This window comes from Homo sapiens, chromosome 6 (genome assembly GCF_000001405.40).
Source record: "Homo sapiens chromosome 6, GRCh38.p14 Primary Assembly".
Taxonomy (NCBI): Eukaryota; Metazoa; Chordata; class Mammalia; order Primates; family Hominidae; genus Homo; species Homo sapiens.
In genome coordinates, this window is record NC_000006.12 from 85,621,227 (window position 1) to 85,642,096 (window position 20,870).

Sequence of the window (20,870 nt, forward strand, 5' to 3'; positions counted from 1 at the left end):
CATAGCTCCCTGGCAGTTCATATTACCCTCAATTTAACTCAACTAGTGGTGTCTGACACCTAACCTGTAAGTAACAAAGAGGGAATTCTTAAAAGACAAAGGATAACTGGGGCATGGTGGCTCATGCCTGTAATCCCAGCATTTTGGGAAGCAGGATTGCTTAAGGCTAAGAATTGTAAGACCGGCCTGGGCAGCACAGGGAGATTAACTCTGCCTCTACAAAATTTTTTAAAAAAATTAGCCAGGTGTGGTAGTACACACCTGTAGTTCTAGCTACTTGGGAGGCTGAGGTGAGAAGATCTCTTGAGCTTGGGGCTACAGTCAGCTATGATCATGCCCCTGAACTCTAGCCCTGGGCCACAGATCTAGACCCTGTCACTTAAAAAAAAAAAAAAAAAAAGAGAACAAAGGATAGAACAAATAACTGCAAATTACTGCACCAGTGTGTAATAAAGTGTTGACTCAAGGGATGTTTATTCTTATACAATGTCTCCACTGACTGCTGAAGTCAGGATACCTAATAATGGCTAAATGTAACTGCAAGCACCTCTGCTGCGGCCAGTATAATTTACTGTTTTTAGTAGTAAGACTTTTAACCCCAAAACCATGTAAACTAATGGTGCCATTCTCAAAAACTCAAATTGCTCTTAAAAAACACACAAAATGGAAGTCAACTGTCTACAGCATGTAGGCGACTTCATTACAAGATTGTGATGGCTATACAATTATGGCTAAGTATCCACGCATCAATTTCTATTTTCACTTTGCAGGCACATGGTATTTCCAGTGCGCACTGCCTAGTCCCGTAGTAAAGAACATTTCTCCCAACTCTAAAAATATGGTTTAAAAAAAAATGTGTCCAGGGCCAGGTGCAATAGCCTCACGCCTCTAAATCCCAGCACTTTGGAAGGCCGAGGTAGGTGGATCCCGAGGTCAGGAGTTCGAGACCAGTCTGACCAACATGGTGAAACCCCAGCTCTACTAAAAAAAACACAAAAATTAGCCAGGTGTGGTGGTGGGAGCCTGTAATTCCAGCTACTTGGGAGGCAGGAGAATCACTTGAACCCGGGAGGCGGAGGTTGCAGTGAACCAAGATGGCACCATGGCACTCCAGCCTGGGAAACATGGGAAACAAGAGACTCTTGTCTCAAAAAATAAAAAAATGTATACTGTTCATTTTATGTTCCCCCCACCCCAACCCCGGCCCTTCTCCCATTAATCCCTCAAAAAATATTTTTAACTTGACTATCATTACCTTTGCCATAACCTCAGGATCAGGATCTTCTATAGGATCAGCCCATTCAACAGTTCCAACATTCCCCCAGACCTTGACTTTACCACTCATTAACCTACGCCTTGCCTGGGCAGCTGTTTTGTGATCTTCATATTCAAGAAAGCAAAAGCCTCTGTTTTTTTTCTTGTCATCCGGTTGGTGGTATAAAATGACGTCTGTAAGACCCTCTGCAAGTAAGCAACCATTCCAGGAAAATTAGATGAAATAACTAGCAAATACAAGTGGATCAAAGGATTTATCTAAGATACTACTTAAATATCAAAATGAAAAATCATCTCTTTCCTTCACTAGACATCTTTATAAAAGACTATCAAAAACTAGGTCCGGATTATTTTCCTAATCTGTTTCCAAGTTTTTCAACACAGAAATCTCCAGAAAAGAACATGTGCTCTTTTTAGAGGTAAGGACTACTTTTGTTTTCACTAATTAGATCAGAGAGGCAGATAAAAATTTTCATATAATTGTTCTAAGAAAATGGCAGTATAGATCAAATATGGCTATTTTTCTTATTATGCAAACACTAAAATTATTTTTAATGGCACTTTTCTGGCCTTAGATATCAATGGCTTTATTTCAAATAAAATAGAAGTTATAAGTACTGCATAAAAATTTCCAATGTCCTGAAAGTTGATAACAGGCTGATAATTTGTTAGACACTGTTGGCAGACCAAAATATTTTCTAAAAGCAACCTGTCACTTAAAAGTTGTTACAGTTCAAAAAATTTTTTTACCATGTTGACAATATATAAACTCTGTTTATGGGCCAGGCACGGTGGCTCATACCTGTAATCGCAACACTCTGGGAGGCCGAGGCAAGCAGATCACTTGAGGTCAGGAGTACAAGACCAGCCTGGCCAATATGGTGAAACCCCACCTCTACAAAAGACGCAAAAATTAGCCAGGTGTGGTGGTGCGCGCCTGTAATCCCAGCTACTCAGGAGGCTGAGGCAAGAGAATCCCTTGAATCTGGGAGGCAGAGGCTGCAGGGAGCCAAGATCACACCAGCACACTCCAGCCTGGGCAACAAAGCAAGACTGTCTCCAAAAAAAAAAAAAAAAAAAAACACTCTGCTACGGCAATACTTACTACTCCTGTAATTTCAAGAACATCAAATCATTATTCAAACAATTCTACTAAGAACATCAACTAACACCTAGAGAAAGAACACACAAAGAAATACGATCTTCCAAAACATAGGAAGAACAATGATTTTGCAGAATGAATTCAAACCCTAGCTGTATTCCCTACTAACTTGTACAACGTTTGGCAAGTTATTTCCCAAATCCCTGAATGCCTGTTCTTCTTATCTGAAAAATGGGGTTACCTACACTTCAAAAGTTGTAGTGAGGATTCGATGAGTCAATAAATGTATTTAGAACAATGCATGACGCACAGAAATATGCTATTAATCTTCATTATTAAAAGCTGCACCTCATTCCAAATAAATCCAACTTACCTGTTACTTTGCTAAATTCTTCAAGAATCTGTTCCTTGGTTTTACTCTTAGGAATAGAGCCCACAAAAAGCCTATTGTTGGCAACTGAGATGCAGACACCAATATGTTTTCCAGAACGAATTTCATGATTATTATACTGAAAGGGGAAAAAGTGCATCATGTTTTTAAATTACTTATACAACTAGAACAGTTAATTATAAAAGATACACAAGAGCAAATCATCCTTTAAAAAGTAGTTTACCTTAATTCCCATACAAGGGAATTATGAGGAACAGATTATATTAACAAGACCCATTGGACAAGTTCATGAACCAATTTAATGCAAATAAAAGGTTATTAAATCCTTTACTTGATTAATTAGAAATCAGATCTGCAGCAGCTTAAATTCAAAAACTGCCAGTTCCTCAAAAACTTAACTTTTACTTAAGTTCATCCCATCAACCAGTTATTCTCATACAAGGAAAACTGATCCCAAGATCAGCAAGATCTCTGCCGTTCTGTTAACCAGCACCTAAATCTATTTTTCCATCTTCCCTTCCTCTTATCAAAAGTTGTAATAAGAAATTTCAGGCTTCAAATATTTAAGCCTAAAAAAACAGCTTTTATTTCTAAATCCAACTGTACTTTTTCCCCATTTCATTTTCATTATGCATATAACAAATTATGAAGGAGAAAGAGAAGTAGATTTGTCATGGCAAAAATATACAGAAACAACTTTAAAACTACAGTAAAAAGTAAATTGAATTTTCGAGTAACCATATCCCAGATTATCAGAAAGCAGAGGCAAAAAGCAACATGTCAAAGTGACAAATCCACCAATTAGTATTATTTACAAACCCAAGTGCAAAAGTATCCAAGTAATCTAGAAAAGTGGATTATATGGGTTAGTTAAAACCACACCTCAAAATTTGTTACTAATAATGGCGGCAGCAGCGGCAATAATTATTGATTAATCCTCCCACACCTAACCTCAAAATCTATTCTACACGTGGAGCTACACAAACTAAAGAACCAACATCAATTTCCATACAACTTTATAGAAATACCTTACAGCAAAAGAAACCATTCTTCTATTATGCCCATCCTTGCTAGGTACACCGGGTATAACAGAAGAAAACATGTAAGTCAGAAAGTTGAGTCCTCCCTGTCCCTTCCCCATCTCCAGAAAATCAAAATTTAATAAAGTTCAAATACCATACCTCCAGTTCAGAAAAATTTATTGCTTTCTACCCCACTATTCTGTACAGGCTATTCAAGTGTGTGGCCCTCCTGATCCCAGGTTTACTTCTATTTCTCTACATTTATGCCAGAGACACAACATTAAAAAAAGTAAAAAGATGACTCCTGCTACTTTCTCCTCTCTCTCTCAAATACCTTTTTATATCAACTCTTAAACATACAGGGTTTTTTTTTTTTTGTCTTTTCTGAGACAGAGTCTTGCTCTGTCCCCCAGGCAGGAGTGCAGCAGTGGCACTATCTCGGCTCACTGCAACCTCCGCCTCCTGGGTTCAAGCAATTCTCCTCCCTCTACCTCCCGAGTAGCTGTGATTACAGGCGCCTGCCACCATGCCCGGCTATTTTTTGTATTTTTAGTAGAGACGGGGTTTCACCATGTTGGCCAGGCTGGTCTCAAACTCCTGATCTTGTGATCCACTCGCCTCGGCCTCCCAAAGTGCTGGGATTACAGGTGTGACCCACCATGCTGGGCCACATGCAATTTTTATACTCCTATGGCTCTGAAGAAATTGCCTTCCTTCCCTGAAACTTCTACCATACAAGCTCCTCTGGATACCTGTAAATTAAGTTCAACCACCCAATACTACAATACATAAATCCTAAAAGGGTCAACAAAATACTCCTCCATGTTAACACAGACCAACAGTTCTCAACAGGAGTGATTTTGCCCCCCAGAAGTCATTTGACATTCTTGATTGTCACAACTTGGAAAGAAGTGGGGACTTGCTGCTGGTATCTACTGGGTAGACAGAAGGATGCTGATACACATCTAACAATTCAGAAGACAGCCTGTCACAAAGAATTATCTAGTCTAAAAGATCAGCAGTGCTGAGGTTAAAAACTCCTGCCATATACTTTGTTTTCTCATATAGCATTCATGTCTTTCTCTTCTACCAGACTAATAATCTTTTAACAGCAGAAACATGTTACCTGAATGTAGCAGAGCTATGGCTGAATCCATCATTGCACAGAATTATGGACAAGTAGATTATAATGCCTTATTTTGCAAGTAAAATTAAACTAAGAACACAATAAATTACTTTAAAATATGTACATTCCCTGGATTCTTATAATCTAGCATCAAGTAGCCAGCCTTAGCAACAAATCAGTGGTTTTCAAATTGGTCATGCAATCAGTAATTCTAGTAATTAACAAAAACAATTAAAATACCAGAAAAAGGTGGAAAGAAATACCAAGTGTGTAAAGGCAAAAACAGGAGTGATTTTGGGGGTGACAGATTTTGGTATAATGAGGGGGGGAACTGGTATTTTCCAAATGTTCTAAAATCAGGAGCTATTAACTATAAGAAAATACCTAATTCTAAAAAAACTTCTAACAGAAACTTGAATTCTTAGTTCTACCAAGAAAATACACCATTGAGAGGAACCAAAATCCTTATAAGAAATGTAGGAGGCAAAGGCAAGACAACAGAGAATGGAAACATTCCATCAAGGCAACAATAATCAAAGAAATATAGAGAAGACAGCTAATCTGTAACATAGGCAACACTTCCATTAACCATCAACATTAACAATGCTGCTTCAAATTATTAATAACTGTTTCCATTATTATCTACAGAAACACCATTTTTTTCCTTCTTACCCATCATCACTAGCCCTGATGCTAATCAAGTTAGCCAAGGCATGGTAGGTAGAAAGTACAAAGGATGGATGTGGTCTCTGAACAACATAAATAACACAAAGATTTAGCAGGATCTATAAAATAAACTGCTGATTCCTCCCTACCCACATTTTTTCAATTAAAAAACTTGGGCCAGGCGCGGTGGCTCATGCCTGTACTCCTAGCATTTTGGGAGGCTGAGGCGGGCGAATTGCCTAAGCTCAGGAGTTCGAGACCAGCCTGGGCAACACAGTGAAACGCCGTCTCTACTAAAACACAAAAGAAATTAGCCGGGAGTGGTGGCAGGCACCTGTAATCCCAGCTACTCGGGAGGCTGAGGCAGGAGAATCACTTGAAACTGGGCGGCAGGGGTTGCAGTGAGCCCAGATCGCGCCACTGCACTCCAGCCTGGGCAACAGAGCAAGACTCCATCTCTACAAAAAAAAAAAAAAAAAACTTGGAACAATTGTATTACAGGTAACACAGAGAGTCAACTGGCTCTCCAATGAAAATAAGTCATTAAGCGAACAAAGTAAGGAGACTCTGGGTACAACTATAACAAAAGTAGTACCTAGAAATTAACATTTCCGGAAGCAACACCCCATCTACGGATTACGCATGCTTTTTTTGTACGTGTATTTGAATTGCTTAACCTTTCTTACACTAATGCCACTCTATCACCTAAAAAAAAACAAAAACAAAAAAACACTTATCCCAGCAAGATGGGTAACAGTGAGTTATATGGTGAATGGTGTAATACAAAAAACAAATGTGAATAAGAGATTCTAATTTAATACTAGTAAACCCTAACTCAAGAAGTGTATCAGGACACTACAGTGGTATAAAAAAACGAGCACACACACACAAAAAGTCTTATCTTTCCTACTCTAGAAAGGTTGGCCCTGAATCTTGTTAGTTGTAAAAATCTAGCCTTCAAGCTCAGTACCACAGCTGAGATGAACCAAATAGAAAATGAAGATTAATTATGATCATTAATCAATGTGAGGTTTCAGTTTTTAAGAACACCAAAACAGTAGTACAGTCTGGAACGTTCCTGTCATCAAGTCTCAAAATTTTAAGTCACTTTTAAGTCCTTCCCTCATAGTCACCAAATTCCCAGAAATTCAGCAATGTCAAATTTGGAATCTGATCCAGAAGAGGCTGCTTAGTCCTAACTCTTCTCAGCAAAGCCCCTACCTCCAAAGCCTTCCACATTGAAGATTTCTTTTTTTTTTCTTTTTGAGACCGAGTCTCACTCTGACACCCAGGATGGAGTACAGTGACGCGACTTCAGCTAACTGCAACCTCCACCTCCCGGTTTCAAGTGATTCTCCTGCCTCAGCCTCCCTAGTAGCTGGGACCACAGGCGTGTGCCACCACACCCGGCTAATTTTTGTATTTTTAGTAGAGACAGGGTTTCACCATGTTGGCCAGGCTGGTCTCGAACTCCTGGCCTCGGGTGATCCGCCCGCCTCAGCCTCCCAAAATGCTGGGATCACAGGCATGATCCACCGCACCTGGCCTAAAGATTTCTTAATTATAAAGTCTTCTTTACAATAAGCCAAAATCTACTTCCTTAAATAAACCTATTTCTTTCCCCCAAATGACAGCATTTCATATACCTGGCACACAAGCACATGACTCAGTTGTTTTCTATGCTTGGCTAATCATTGCTTCCCTGATAATGGCAAACTAAAGTACCTCCAAGAAATACTGACAAGTGTCACTGAAGAGTGACATTCTAACACAATACTGTAAACGCAGACTGAAACAGGAGTCTAGAATAAACTGGAGCTTATTACTAATTTTCCACTTCTAGACACCATACCACTCTTACATATTGTCTGTGTTACCCTAGGTTATTTGGCAACCACACATTACTGACACCACAGCTTGTTAAACTAGTGTAAATACTTAACTTTAGTCAATTCCATCTTGGTAGATATAAACTTTCTATCTCAGGCTATCAAAAGTTTTTCAGATCCTGACGGTCATCCAAGGCATTTATCACTGAATGGAGATTCAAGTTACCAAACGTATCATGAACAGTCCAACTACACTTTCAATTCTTGATAAAAACTAGAATACAACCTACAGCATACCACTATGGCCTTTCATTTCTCTTTCCAAAATCTCCGATCTTTCTCCTTTCTATTGCTGCCACCCTCCTCCTGGCCTTTATTGTCTTTATTCAAATAATCTTCATTATTCAGCCACTTACAACATGCCACCCACATCAGGGCTCAAAAAGGGGGTGGGGGGTGCTATGCAGCTTAGCCCAGTATGAACTAACTCCTGGCACTGACTTTATTACAAGTTTTATTTCCACAAAACACTGCTTCAACTAGATTCACCTTTTTTCTTCACTGTGCTGCTCAAACCTCTTTATTGCAAAGCCTTCTCTGACAACCCTAATCCAGTCTCCCTTCATCCTTCCTTTACGCTTTGCACCACTGGATTCCACTGTAACAGTAGTCTTTCATGTTCTATAAACTCTCTAAGAACCTGTATATCTGAAGTAAAAGTTTTCATGCTAAACACACTATTTGCTAAATTATTATTAAAATATCTCTGAACCTACCTTGTCAACTACATTCATCAAAATGGCTGTTCATGAGGCCGAAGCAAATGGATCACTGAAGGTTTGGAGTTTGAGACCAGCCTGGTCAACAAACTAAAAATACAAAAAAAAAAAAAAAAAAAAAAAAGGGCCGGGTGCGGTGGCTCATGCCTGTAATCCCAGCATTTTGGGAGGCCGATGTGGGCGGATCACGAGGTCAAGAATTTGAGACCAGCCTGGCCAATATGGTGAAACCCCATCTCTACTAAAAACACAAAAATTAGCCAGGCGTGGTGGTGCTCACCTGTAGTCCCAGCTACTCGGGAGGCTGAGGCAGAAGAATCGCTTGAACCTGGGAGGCGGAGGCTGCAGTGAGCCGAGATCATGCCACTGCAATCCAGCCTGGGCAACAAGGCGAGATTCATATCAAAACAAAACAAAATTAGTCAGGCATGGTGGCGGGCTCCTGTAGTCCCAGCTACTCGGGAGGCCGAGGCAGCAGAATCTCCTGAACCCAGGAGACAGAGGTTGCAGTGAGCTGAGATAGCGCCGCTGTGCTCCAGCCTCGTTGAGAGTGAGGATTTGTCTCAAAAAAAAAAAAAAGCTGTATACACATCATGACAGTATACATAACCAATCTGGTGACTAAAACCATCAGAACCATCAGAGCTATTAAAATAACTTGTGGGCCGGGCACTGTGGCTCACGTCTGTAATCCCAGCACTTTGGGAGGCTGAGACAGGCGGATCACGAGGTCAGGAGATAGAGACCATCCTGGCTAACACGGTGAAACCCCGTCTCTACTAAAAATACAAAAAAATTAGCCGGGTGTGGTGGCAGGCGCCTGTAGTCCCAGCTACTCGGAGGCTGAGTCAGGAGAATGGCGTGAACCCAGGAGGTGGAGCTTGCAATGAGCCGAGATCGTGCCACTGCACTCCAGCCTGGGCAACAGAGCGAGACTCCATCTCAAAAACAAACAAACAAACAAAAAAAATCGTAACGTGCAAACAGATTTCATCTATTCCAATGCTTGTACATAGACATTATTAGCATTTCATCAGGATATTTCCGTTATTTAAGATTGTCATGGAATTGCAGCATCACCAGCCTTGGGCTCCAATTCCAGCAACATACCACACAAATACATAAACACACCTGCCTGCCCTTCTTCATGGTCTTTAAATCAACATGTCTATTTCCAAACAACCCCTAGGTAGGTAAGGGAAGAAAGCATCATCACCTACTAATTTACCTTAATCACAGGGCAGTAAGTAGCACAGAATTGTAAATGGAGGCTATTAAAACAGCAAATGGTCCATGAGTTACATAAGAATATTAGAGAGCACTGGTCAGCAAGTCAGGTTATTTATCCAACACCTACTACATAATGGGGCACAGTTCTAAATGTTAGGGAAAAAGGAAAAATATATACATATTCTAATGGGAAAAGACATGTAAATAATTTACAAAGTCAAAAAATAATTACAAGCTCATCCAAGCAAAATCTATTTTATCATTCTTAGAATACTGTCATGGGGGCAACTGGGTGGTAAGGTGCTCAATGTCACCCTACCTGAAAAGAAAGCATCAGTCATAAATGGGCTGCTTTCAACCCCTACGAAAGCAGAACAGCAGAAGGCAGCCTTAAAATGATAATGGCCATGGCTTGGCTGGGCACGGTGGCTCACGCCTGTAATCCCAGTACTTTGGGAGGCTGAGGCGGGCAAATCACTTGGGGTCAGGAGTTCGAGACCAGCCTGGCCAACATGGCAAAACGCCATCTCTACTAAAAATACAAAAATCAGCCAGGCGTGGTGGCACACACCTGTAATCCCAGCTACTCAGTGGCTGAGGCAGAACTGCTTGAACCCAGGAGGCAGAGGGTGCAGTGAGCTGTGATCGCACCACTGCCCTCCAGCCTGGGTGACAAAGCATGACTGTGTCTCCAAAAAAAAAAAAAAAAGGCCATGGCTTAAAGAAGGCGAAACATGGCTAAAAGGGTAATTAAAAGGAAGAGTGGGGAAAGAGGTAAGAAGGAACTTGTCTGGATAGGGCCTTGTTTGTAAGTCATTTTTCAGCACAGGAATGCTGTGATCTAATTGATGTTGCCAAATATAAAGGGCAACAGAAGGCAGTGAGACTAGCTAAGTTTCTTCAGTAGTCTGAATGGTACAAATGGTACCTTAGACTAACTAGGGTAGTAGCAGCGAAGAAGATAAAAAGTGTTAGATGCTAAAATATTTTGGCAACAGATAGGACCTACTTCCTTAACTCTTTTAACACTACCTAAACCACTACATAATTTAAAGTTATCAGGCTACCTGGTGACGTAACTTGTACAGTTGGCTTAAATTGTTATGTCTAACAATAGGGACCTCAGCTAAAGAAACCTGGCATCAAACTAGGGCTGGGATGTTTAGCTGTATGGCCTCAGGCAAGTCTATTTCTTTCTACTACCTGGCAGAAAGGGTTGTTGAGGCTGAATTTAAAGGTGATAACGTAGCATCTAACAAAGCTCCTGTCCCTTAACAAGCACTCAAGTAGTAGCTATTAATCACCTTTTCACAAGTTTAGATCATGCTTCCCTAGCTAGATTATCATCATTTACAAATGGATTTTTTTCATTCCCCAAAATGAAGGTAGATGTTGGCTAGAATCAGGGTCATTTAAGAAACTTGAAGTTGCTTTCAATTAACTTCATGCCTCTTCAACTGTTAACATCAATTAACCCATTTTTATAAGTCCACATACAAATATAAAGTCTACAGTACTATTTAACCTAGAGAAACTATTCATTGCTGTATCAGTATTAAAAGACAATGCCAAATACCTAAAACTATTTCAACCTAAGGTATTCCTCCAGACACTCAAAAGAGAAACAGAGGTGCTTCAATCTTGTCTGATCTATAAATAATGCAAAGGAGGCATGAGGCACTTTCCCAACATTTAGTTATATATAACTAGAATGACACTTCAATTAAAAACTCACTTTGGATAGAACTGTAACAAGTAGAATCTCAAAATGTAACACAGTAGAGATAGCTTCCAAAGTATGCGCCCTTGAGGAACATACTTAGGAAAGGGGTATTCATGTCCGCAAATGAATACAAAGTGGCAAAAAACATCCAAAAAAACTTGAGATTTGTATTTTCTCTAGAATGTTTCAATTACTTCACTTTCTCTAAAATCTAGTTCTTTGTTGTGCTAAAGCAAATCTACCAGATCCTACCCACAGTAAAGCATCCTTTTAAAAAAAAAGTAAACAATGGCCAGGCGCAGTGGCTCATGCCTGTAATCCCAGCAATTTGGGAAGCCAAGGCAGTAAGACTGCTTGAGGCCAAGAGTTCAAGACTAGCCTGGACAACATAGTGAGACACCACCTCTACAAGTTTAAAAATTAGCCTAGCAAGGTGGTGCCCTCATAGTCCTAGCTGCTGAGGAAGCTGAGGCAGGAGGATCACGTAAGCCCGGGAGTTCAAGGTTAGTGAGCATTGATCATGACACTGCACTCCAGCAAGGGCAACAGAGTGACAACCTGTCTCCGAAAACAGTAATAATAATTAAAACCGTTTACTTAAGGCCGGGCGCGGTGGCTCACACCTGTAATCCCAGCACTTTGGGAAGCCAAGGCGGGTGAATCACAAGGTCAAGAGATCGAGACCATCCTGGCTAACACGGTGAAACCCTGTCTCTACTAAAAAAATACAAAAAAAATTAGCTGGGTGTGGTGGTGGGTGCCTGTAGTACCAGCTACTCAGGAGGCTGAGGCAGGAGAATGGCGTGAACCCGGGAGGCAGAGCTTGCAGTGAGCCGAGATTGCACCACTGCACTCCAGCCTGGGCAACAGAGTGAGACTCCATCTCAAAAACAAATAAATAAATAAATAAATAAATAAATAAAATAAACAATTTACTTAAAAGTAGGCTGGGTGTGGTGGCTCACACCTGTACTCCCAGCACTTTGGGAAGCCGAGGCCGAGACTGGGGTCAGGAGTTTGAGACCAGCCTGGCCAACAGGGTGAAACCCCATCTCTACTAAAAATACAAAAATCAGTAGGGCATGGTGGTGTGCACCTGTAATCCCAGCTACTCAGGGGGCTGAAACAGAAGAATCACTTGAACCCAGAAGGCAGAGGTTGCAGTGAGTTGAGATCACACCACTGCACCCCAGCCTGGGCAACAGAGGGAGACTCCGTTTCAAAAAAACTTACTAAAAAGTCAAAAAAAGCAAATGATGGTATGACCAATATATCCTACTGGCTGTATACCAATACCTACCATTGGAAATTTTTTTTTTCCCCCTTTTTGGTTTTTTGAGACAGGGTCTCTGTTGCCCAGGCTGGAGTGCAGTGGCATGATCACAGGTCATTGCAGCCTTGACCTCCTGGGACCACAGGTGCACGCTGCCTGGCTAATCTGTTACTTTTTGGTACAGATGGGGTCTATGTTTCCCAGGCTGGTTTCAATCAATCCTTGCACCTCAGCCTACCAAAGTGCTGGGACTACAGGTGTGAGCAACCACACCCTGCCAAAAGTATCTTTTAAAAGACAACAAAATGCAAAGTCTCCTATTAATTAGATAGTACAAAATAATTATGCCCCCAGAAAAGGATTCAAATCACAACAGAGAAACCCAGAAAGAAATGTAGAAAGTTTTAGGACAAGGGTTAATTCCTACGCCAATCAAAAAGAATGCTTATCTATAGAAGTTTCTCCATTATATTTAAAAACTATATTAATAAGACTATATTCTAAGCAACCTACAGCAATGCAATTTTATAATTTAACGTATTTATTAAACAAGGCAATTGTACAAATGGAAACATTTCCTAGTGTCTACTGGCACTCGAAATCACTGTTACTAATGGATTATAAACCATCTTCCTCTAATGATGTATCTTTACTGTAAAGTTTCTGGAAAACATCTATAAATAAGTTATAGTGGTCACCTACCATAATTGGTACATTTTGACGGCAAGAATTAGGTAACCTACGATGTCAGTTTAATGATTCTTTTTCATAATGTTAAAAAATGGATGACACCACTAGCTAAATTCTGCAGTGGTCCCTCAGCACATACGGGGGACTGATTCCAGGAACCCATACCAAAATCCATGAATGCTCAACTCTCTTAAATAGCATAGTGTTTGCACATAACCTACGAACATTCTCTCATACACTGGTGTGTTGTTTTTTTTTTTTATTGGGTTTTTTGGGAGTATCTTCAATCCTCAGCTAGCTGAAACTGTGAATGCAGGACCCACAGTAGAGAGAGCCCACTGTATTAGCTTTCTGTAGTTATGATACCTCATTGCTTACTGGATCATTCTGCATTTTCACTTACTGCTACTTTATTGCTACTTGGCAAAAATATTCTACTCTTTTATAGGAGATTAAAGGATTTTGGGACAGGCAAGGTGGCTCATGCCAGTAATCCTTGCACTTTGGGAAGCCGAGGTAGGAGGACTGCTTGAGACCATGAGTTCAAGACCAACCTGCCAGGCACAGTGGCTCATGCCTGTCATCCCAGCACTTTGGGAGGCCAAGGCGGGCAGATTACTTGAGGTCTGGAGTTCAAGACCGGCCTGGCCAACATAACCCCATCTCTACCAAATATACAAAAATTAGTCAGGTGTGGTGGTACGCGCCTATTATCCCAGCTACTCGGGTGGCTGAGGCAGGAGAATTGCCTGAGCCCAGGAGGCAGAGATTACAGTGAGCCAAGATCATGCCCACACACTCCAGCGTGGGTGACAGAGACTTTGTCTCAAAAAACAAATCATAAAAACAAACTAAAGGATTTCTAAGGTACCTCTTTCTAGAGCTCTAAAATGCCCCTCCCCTCAAATTGAACTGCTGAAACTAAAATTTTGACAACTCAAAGGTTACCAGTAAATCTGAATTCCCTCTAAAACACAAAGCACTCTTTTATGAAGAGAAAAATCAGACATGATTTGAAAATATCTAAATTCTCAAATTCTCTTTGTAAAGGCTTATATTCTTTCAAGTAACATAATTTTGTACTGTTTAACTTCCATCATACTCAATTATGCAAACCAGTGGGGAATATTCACACAACATAGAAAAGGAAGACTTGGCCGGGTGCAGTGGCACACGTCTGCAATCCCAGCACTTTGCGGGGCTGAGGCAGGCATATCTTCTGAGGTCAAGAGTTCATGACCAGCCTGGCCAACATGGTGAAACCCTGTCTCTACTAAAAATACAAAATTTAGCCAGGTGTGGTGATAAATGCCTGTAATCCCAGCTACCGGAGAGGCTGAGGCAGGAGAATCGCTTGAACCTGGGAGGCGGAGGTTGCAGTGAGCCAAGATCGCACCATGGCACTCCTGCTGTCTAGGTGACAGAGTGAGATTCTATCTCCCAAAAAAAAAAAAAAAAAAAAAAAGAAAAGGAAGACTTATGAGTTTTATTTTTCTCTTTAAGGCTTGCTTAAAGTGATAAACCTCATGGTAAAGGAAGGGGTAAAACTCAGGAGGGAGGGAAAAAAAAATGAGTCTGAAGATTTTAAGTTTGTCTGGAATTACCCACAGGATACGTAAGCCAGATAAAGCAAATTTAACAAACATGGCATAGTGAGCTATCTTGTACAAAAGTTCTCCCCAGTCGTGTTGCTTGATACATTCTATGGGTTTAAATTAGCCCCCAACTCTTCAACTATAAAATGCAGAAACCACTTCTGTCACAGAACTTAATAAAACTAGTTTAAAGGACTTACATAAACTATAATTTAAAATATTAAAATTTCTTTCTAGCCAGGCGTGGTGGCTCACGTCTAAAATCCCAGGACTTTGGGAGGCCGAAGCGAGTGGATCACCGGAGGTCAGGAGTTCGAGACCAGCCTGGCCAACATGGCGAAACCCCATCTCTACTAAAAATATAAAAATTAGCCTGAGCGTGGTGGCAGGCGCCTATAATCCTAGCTACTCGGGAGGCTGAGGCAGGAGAATCACTTGAACCTGAGGGGTGGAGGTTGCAGTGAGCCGAAATCATGCCACTTCAGCCTGGGCAAGAGAGAGAAACTTGGTCTCAAAAAAAAAAGAAAAGAAAAAAGAAAAATTTCCTTTTTAAAAAAGTTGGAAAGATTACCAGGTCCTTACCTAACATCTGGTATTTTTAAATCAAACATTGCCACTCACCATAAAATCTTTTGTTTCATCAACTAGAAATGTATCACAATGTCTTTTGTGAATTATTTAAGAAAAAGAGATGGCTCAGGTATGGCCAGGAAGTATGAGAGCTCTTACCACAGTTACTTTTCTTAATCTTTTCACATTCCTATAAATTTAAACAAACACACAAAAACGTCACTAAGCCAGATGTTTATAAGAACCAATTGCTAGGAATTCTACCATGCCGCCTTTTAGATGCTGAATCCTATCAACTATACATGCAAAGAATAACACTACAATGCTTGCACAGTGATGTGGGAAAAAAAAAACCTGCCTAAATCAGTACTTCAAAAAATGTTTGGTAAACTCTTAGGCACACTAAGAAAAAAACTTGATATTAAAGACAGTGAACGTGAAAACTGAAGGGGAAAAAAGGACAACTTACCAGTTTAACAGCCTCCTGAGCTGCTTCTTTTGTACAAAAAGTGACAAACGCATAACCTCTATTGAGACCAGTGAGTGGATCCATCATTAGACGAAGATCCCATATAGGTCCAGCTTTCTCAAATAATGGAACAAGTTCATCCTCAAATAGATCTCTTGGGATCTTTCCCACAAATATCTGTAAATTAAATATTAAGTAAAAACCATGGAGAATTGCTTTAGGAAACCAGATACCTGTGCTTTTACTACAAAAGGTACAAGTTTTTAGTTGCTTTACCTCAGTGCCAACAGAAGGCTGCTGACCTGAATAAACGGAATCTGGAGGTGGTCCTCCATACTTCCTCTGTCCAGTGGTCACATCAAGTGTGTAGCCTGTTCTTTCCAAGAGTGCCTTGAAAAGTTCAAACGTCATTAATACATTTAATTCACTAGACCACACCCATATATTTAGCAGTTAACATCCATCTTGCTCAAATCTTTCCAATTATCTTGGCATGTTCCCTTATAAAAACAGGTTTGTGATGTCTGTTTTAAAATTTCCCCTTAAATGTGTACTTGTTATACTCCTAAATTATTATCAGAAGTCCAGGGTCCTGTTCAAATTACTTTCTAGTCTCCACTTAATTACTGAATAGTGTGCTTAATGGACAACAAAAAGTTAAGACCAATCCATCAGCAACTTTCAAGACAGGATGTATTACTATGTTAATACCATCTTAAAAAATGATTGTACCTAATTTGGTTGAGCATCTTTCAAATCTGGATCTCTCACCCAATAAATTCCCTATAAACCCCACTCCTAGGTACATACTGCCATTCTGGGCATTGTGCCAACCTCAGAAGAAATTACACTTCCCATACCAAGTCTAGAAACTTGGGAGCTACAGGGAAAAAAAATCTCCTATTATTATTTGACATTTACGTGCCATATTTCATGGGATAGCATGGGTCCTTCAGAAAAAAGTAACAGCCAAAACGACTTTTAAAAACTTTATGAAACTGCAACGTTACATAACCTCTACATTTTAACTCCCAAAAAGTAACTGTTAAAATTTACACAACTCATATTTACTCAGAGCATTAGGTGTTTATTCCTTATTCTAGGCAAAGTATAGAAAGAAGTATAGGCTGGGTGCAGTGGCTCACACCTGTAATCCCAGCACTTTGGGAGGCCAAGGCGGGTGGATCAGGACATCAGGAGCTCAAGACCAGCCTGGCCAAGATGGTGAAACCCTGTCTCTACTAAAAATACAAAAAATTAGCCAGGCGTGGTGGCACGCGCCTGTAATGCCAGCTACTCAGGAGGCTGAGGCAGAGAACTGCTTAAACGCTTAAACCTGGAGGGGCGGAGGTTGCAGTGAGCGGAGATCGCGCCACTGCACTCCAGCCTGGATGACAGAGCAAGACCCCATCTCAAAAAAAAAAAAAAAAAAAAAAAAAAAAAGGTACACTCCTCCATTATCTGAAGGAAAAAGTCAAGAATTATTCCCCTTCTCCACTGTCTCAACCACAAAGCACAAAAGTGGTTTTCTAAACAAAACCAATTTTATTAGCTAGGACATTCTGAAATAAAAACAGACTAATCCTAGCTATCTGACAAAATTTATCAAAATGCATAATCTAGGGTCACCTCAGTCTCTGAAAATTACTGGACAGATTTTTAACATTTTCTACTCAAAGGACACTAACTGTTTATGAAAAATACTGTAATTAATAAAAACATTCATAAACTTGCTCACATCTATAACATAAACTAAATGAGTAATAGCTCATCTTTCCATTTTCTCACATGTAATCCCTATGCTATAAACGGATTTTTTAACCTTAATAGTTAAGACCCAAATAACACTTTTTGTCAATCCATAAAAACAAAAAGGAAAAACTTATTCCCTCTGTCAAACTTCCTCTAAAAATGTCTCTATGCCTTTTTACCACAACTTAGCTCTCATTGAAACTGTAAGCAGCCAGGCATGGTGGCTCACACCTGTAATCTCAGGACTTTGGGAGGCCAAGGTGGGTGGGTCACGAGGTCAAGAGATTGAGACCATCCCGGTCAACATGGTGAAACCTCACCTCTGCTAAAAATACAAAAATCAGCTGGGCCTGGTGGCACCCACCGGTAGTCCCAGCTACTCGGGAGGCTGAGGCAGGAGAATTGCTCGAACCCGCGAGGTGGAGGTTGCAGTGAGCCAAGATCACGCCACTGCACTCCAGCCTGGGTGACAGAGTAAGACTCTGTCTCCCAAAAACAAACAAACAAACAAACAAAAAATTAAGCCACCCCCTTGCAAAAAAAACTGAAAGCTAAAAGTCACAAACTAAAAGTTTAAAAACTTTAGTTCTAGCTCACCAATGCAAACTTGATTACAACTGAATTACAATGGAGACAACTATACTCCACTTTTATGGAAAAACTAGATTTACAGATCAAACTCAATTCACTCACAGCTAGATCTGTGAAAGCCTCCAATTCATGGTTGTCTTAAACAGCTAACTCCATATACCAACCTTTTCCATATTCTAGGCTTTCCCTGTTTCCACACCACTACAACAATGCTCAAGGCCTATACCCTTAACTGATTTTCTTAAACCATACGCTTGGCTCAAGAGCACTGGCACACTACAAAGCACACCAGGTTAAAAAGTAATACAATCACCACATTGTCTATAAATTAGAAAACTCACCAATATAAATATCAAAACCAAGCTGAATTTGAAGCCATTCACCATGATTTTAAACCAAAAAAAAAGCCTCCTCCTCCTAGCCTCAGTTTCTCATCTACATACCCACACTAAACAATCTTATTGTCAAAGCTGCTTTGAGAAATAGTCTAATAATCCATACTGATGGAAGTGGAGGGCAGCAGGGTTAACATTCTAAATTCATTGGGGTTTGAGACTCCTAAAAAAAAAAGCCAGTTGCCAAATGTACATTCTCCATCAGTATTTCAACTGTCAATAAGCTGGCTTTGCAGCTTTTCAAAAAATATTCTAGAGGTATCATGGGTGTGTTTCTTTATACTAGGACTACCAATAGAACAGATTTAAACATCAGTAGCTGGATAACATGATAAACTTCACAGCAAATTGCTTTAGAAACAAATAGTTTAAAAAAACTTAAAAAAAGGAATTAGGAAAGATTGATGAATTATCTCAACATCTAACATACATCCATTTCATACCCAAGGAATATTTACCAAAATTAGGAAACAGTTAAAATGACTTTAAAACTAAAGGGAGTATAGAAAGACATACCTTAATTTTTGCCTCATCTGGTCCTTTACTAGAATCTGCTACTTTGGTCCCTTGTTTTTCTCTCTGCCTGTAAGTCTTCATGACTCCACATAAAAAGGCACTTTTGTTCTGCAAAAAAATGTTCCATTAATATTTAACAATAACCATATCTGAGTCTAATAAAATTCAGCAGATAGTATCAAAACTACTCAAATTTTTTAATTTTCACATTGACATTAACATTACCTGAACATGAGAGAGATCACTGTCTTTAAACTGTTGAAGAACTGCCAATGCACCGTCTTCATTGAATTCTTTTAAAGCTTCAATAGCTCTTTCATCTAAATCACTATGTGCAACTAGCCCTGAAAAAAATAAAAGTTATCAGCTTTTAATATTTTTAGAAAAGATTTTTTAGAGAAGACTATGTTGGCAATACAGGTACATGTGTGCCTTTACAATTCTTCTACTCCCCTCATCTATACCTGAAAAAAAAAAAACACACACTTCAGCCACTCTGAACTGAATCCTGAACTAAATATGCCCTACCAACCACACTTACAATAATCAGCTAACTTCTTTTACATCTTTTATCTCCAAAGTCTGATAACTCTGAACACTACGGTATTTTTACAGTATACAGACTTACGAATCCTAGAATCAACCAACAAAGTACCAAGCATGACAACTGAACCTCTACTCAATTTCAAATACCACCAGAAAAAGTTAACAGCCGCACCAGAAAGACAAGAAAACAAGTCTACAGTTACCAAGTTATTTAAGAAGAATCCTACTATAAAAATACTCAAAAAAGTCACATGGCCTGTTCCCAACATTTAGCAGCTGTTGCTACTATCATATACTTATCCATCAGGCCAGCATGCAAGCCAGCCTTTAGCTCCTAACCTTCTCTTCTTCCCTCCCTCTATACATCTTAACCTCTACTTCAAACTTAAATTAACCAACTATCACAACAAGCAAAACTCCAGTACCCACACTTATTGGAAACCACAAAAAGTTGCTATTTTAGCTCAAAGCCAGAAATCCAATAGAAAAATTTCATAATGTAATTTTGCAAGTGTTAGTTCTTACCTGCAACGTAAATTTCATCTAGTTTTTCAGCAACTTTCTGTGGTAAACCAGCATCAAGCAATGTCTGAAAATTTTCTGAATGGATAACTGCAGAAGTAGTATCCATGGGCTCTTCAGTACCATTTCCATTAACATGTTCTGTAGCCATGTTTCCAGAGATCTGTTCAAACGCAATAAGCAAAATTAAACTAGGATCTTCAAAAAGAATACAAGACAATATGAGAGCCCCATCTTTACTTTCTCTACCATTTACTACACCAGCTAGCCTATACCTCCCTTTAAAAAAGCCTTACAGTCACTATCGCCTGACAAGCCAGATTTGGAGCACAGGGCACAGAAGGACCGATTCACCATATTCTTCCTCAGCACCACCCCTGACTCACCTGCTAACACTCCCTAGGAAAAACCATATTACAAATAGAGCCCAATCAGCACGGGTACGAGCCAGCGTGCCACATGCAGCTGTGCCCGTTCGGAAAATGAGGTGTGTGTGGAGAAAGCAAAACTGGGCTCCTCTCTCTCAAAGATAAACCCCCAAAGTGCGCGCTTTTCCCGCCTGCCGCTTATAGATCGGTAACAACAGCCAGCGAAGAACAAAGCGCTCATACAAGCCACCTTCCCACCACCCAATTTCTCCACCCTTTAACCCCGCACCCCAAAGCCCGCCCCTGACTCCGCACCCAGAGCGGCAGTCTCACCACTGCGGCCGCCAGGAGCCCATTAGAAACACGTGCTCTGCGCCTTCCAATGTCCTACAACTTCCTTCAACGGCAACCCAACGAATCCCAAACCAAGACGACCATCA

At 40.2% G+C, this 20,870-nt stretch overlaps 1 protein-coding gene across 16 annotated transcripts in view, besides 1 other annotated feature; it reads right to left on the reverse strand.

Moving 5' to 3' along the window:
• The window catches only part of SYNCRIP (synaptotagmin binding cytoplasmic RNA interacting protein), a 36,087-nt gene that overhangs the window by 13,443 nt on the left and 1,774 nt on the right, over positions 1–20,870 (reverse strand). For 10 of the 16 annotated variants that reach the window (NM_001439160.1, XM_017010178.3, NM_001439161.1 and 7 more), the window contains exons 2-8: positions 20,066–20,225; positions 19,220–19,338; positions 18,995–19,102; positions 16,017–16,130; positions 15,741–15,917; positions 2,751–2,886; positions 1,256–1,461 (exon numbers count right to left, since the gene is read on the reverse strand). In NM_001439160.1, coding sequence (NP_001426089.1) covers positions 1,256–1,461; positions 2,751–2,886; positions 15,741–15,917; positions 16,017–16,130; positions 18,995–19,102; positions 19,220–19,338; positions 20,066–20,213 — 1,008 coding nt within the window. In that variant the 5' untranslated portion in view covers positions 20,214–20,225. The remainder of the gene's footprint in view (positions 1–1,255; positions 1,462–2,750; positions 2,887–15,740; positions 15,918–16,016; positions 16,131–18,994; positions 19,103–19,219; positions 19,339–20,065; positions 20,226–20,870) is intronic. The other 6 variants (NM_001159673.2, NM_001439159.1, NM_001410938.1 and 3 more) reach the window with 3 other exon arrangements.
• Positions 20,710–20,759: a silencer, noted in NCBI's record as "silent region_17368". NCBI's record gives its function as "represses an Ori minimal core promoter by ATAC-STARR-seq in GM12878 lymphoblastoid cells {active_cell/tissue: GM12878}" and the evidence as "EXISTENCE:reporter gene assay evidence [ECO:0000049][PMID:35858748]".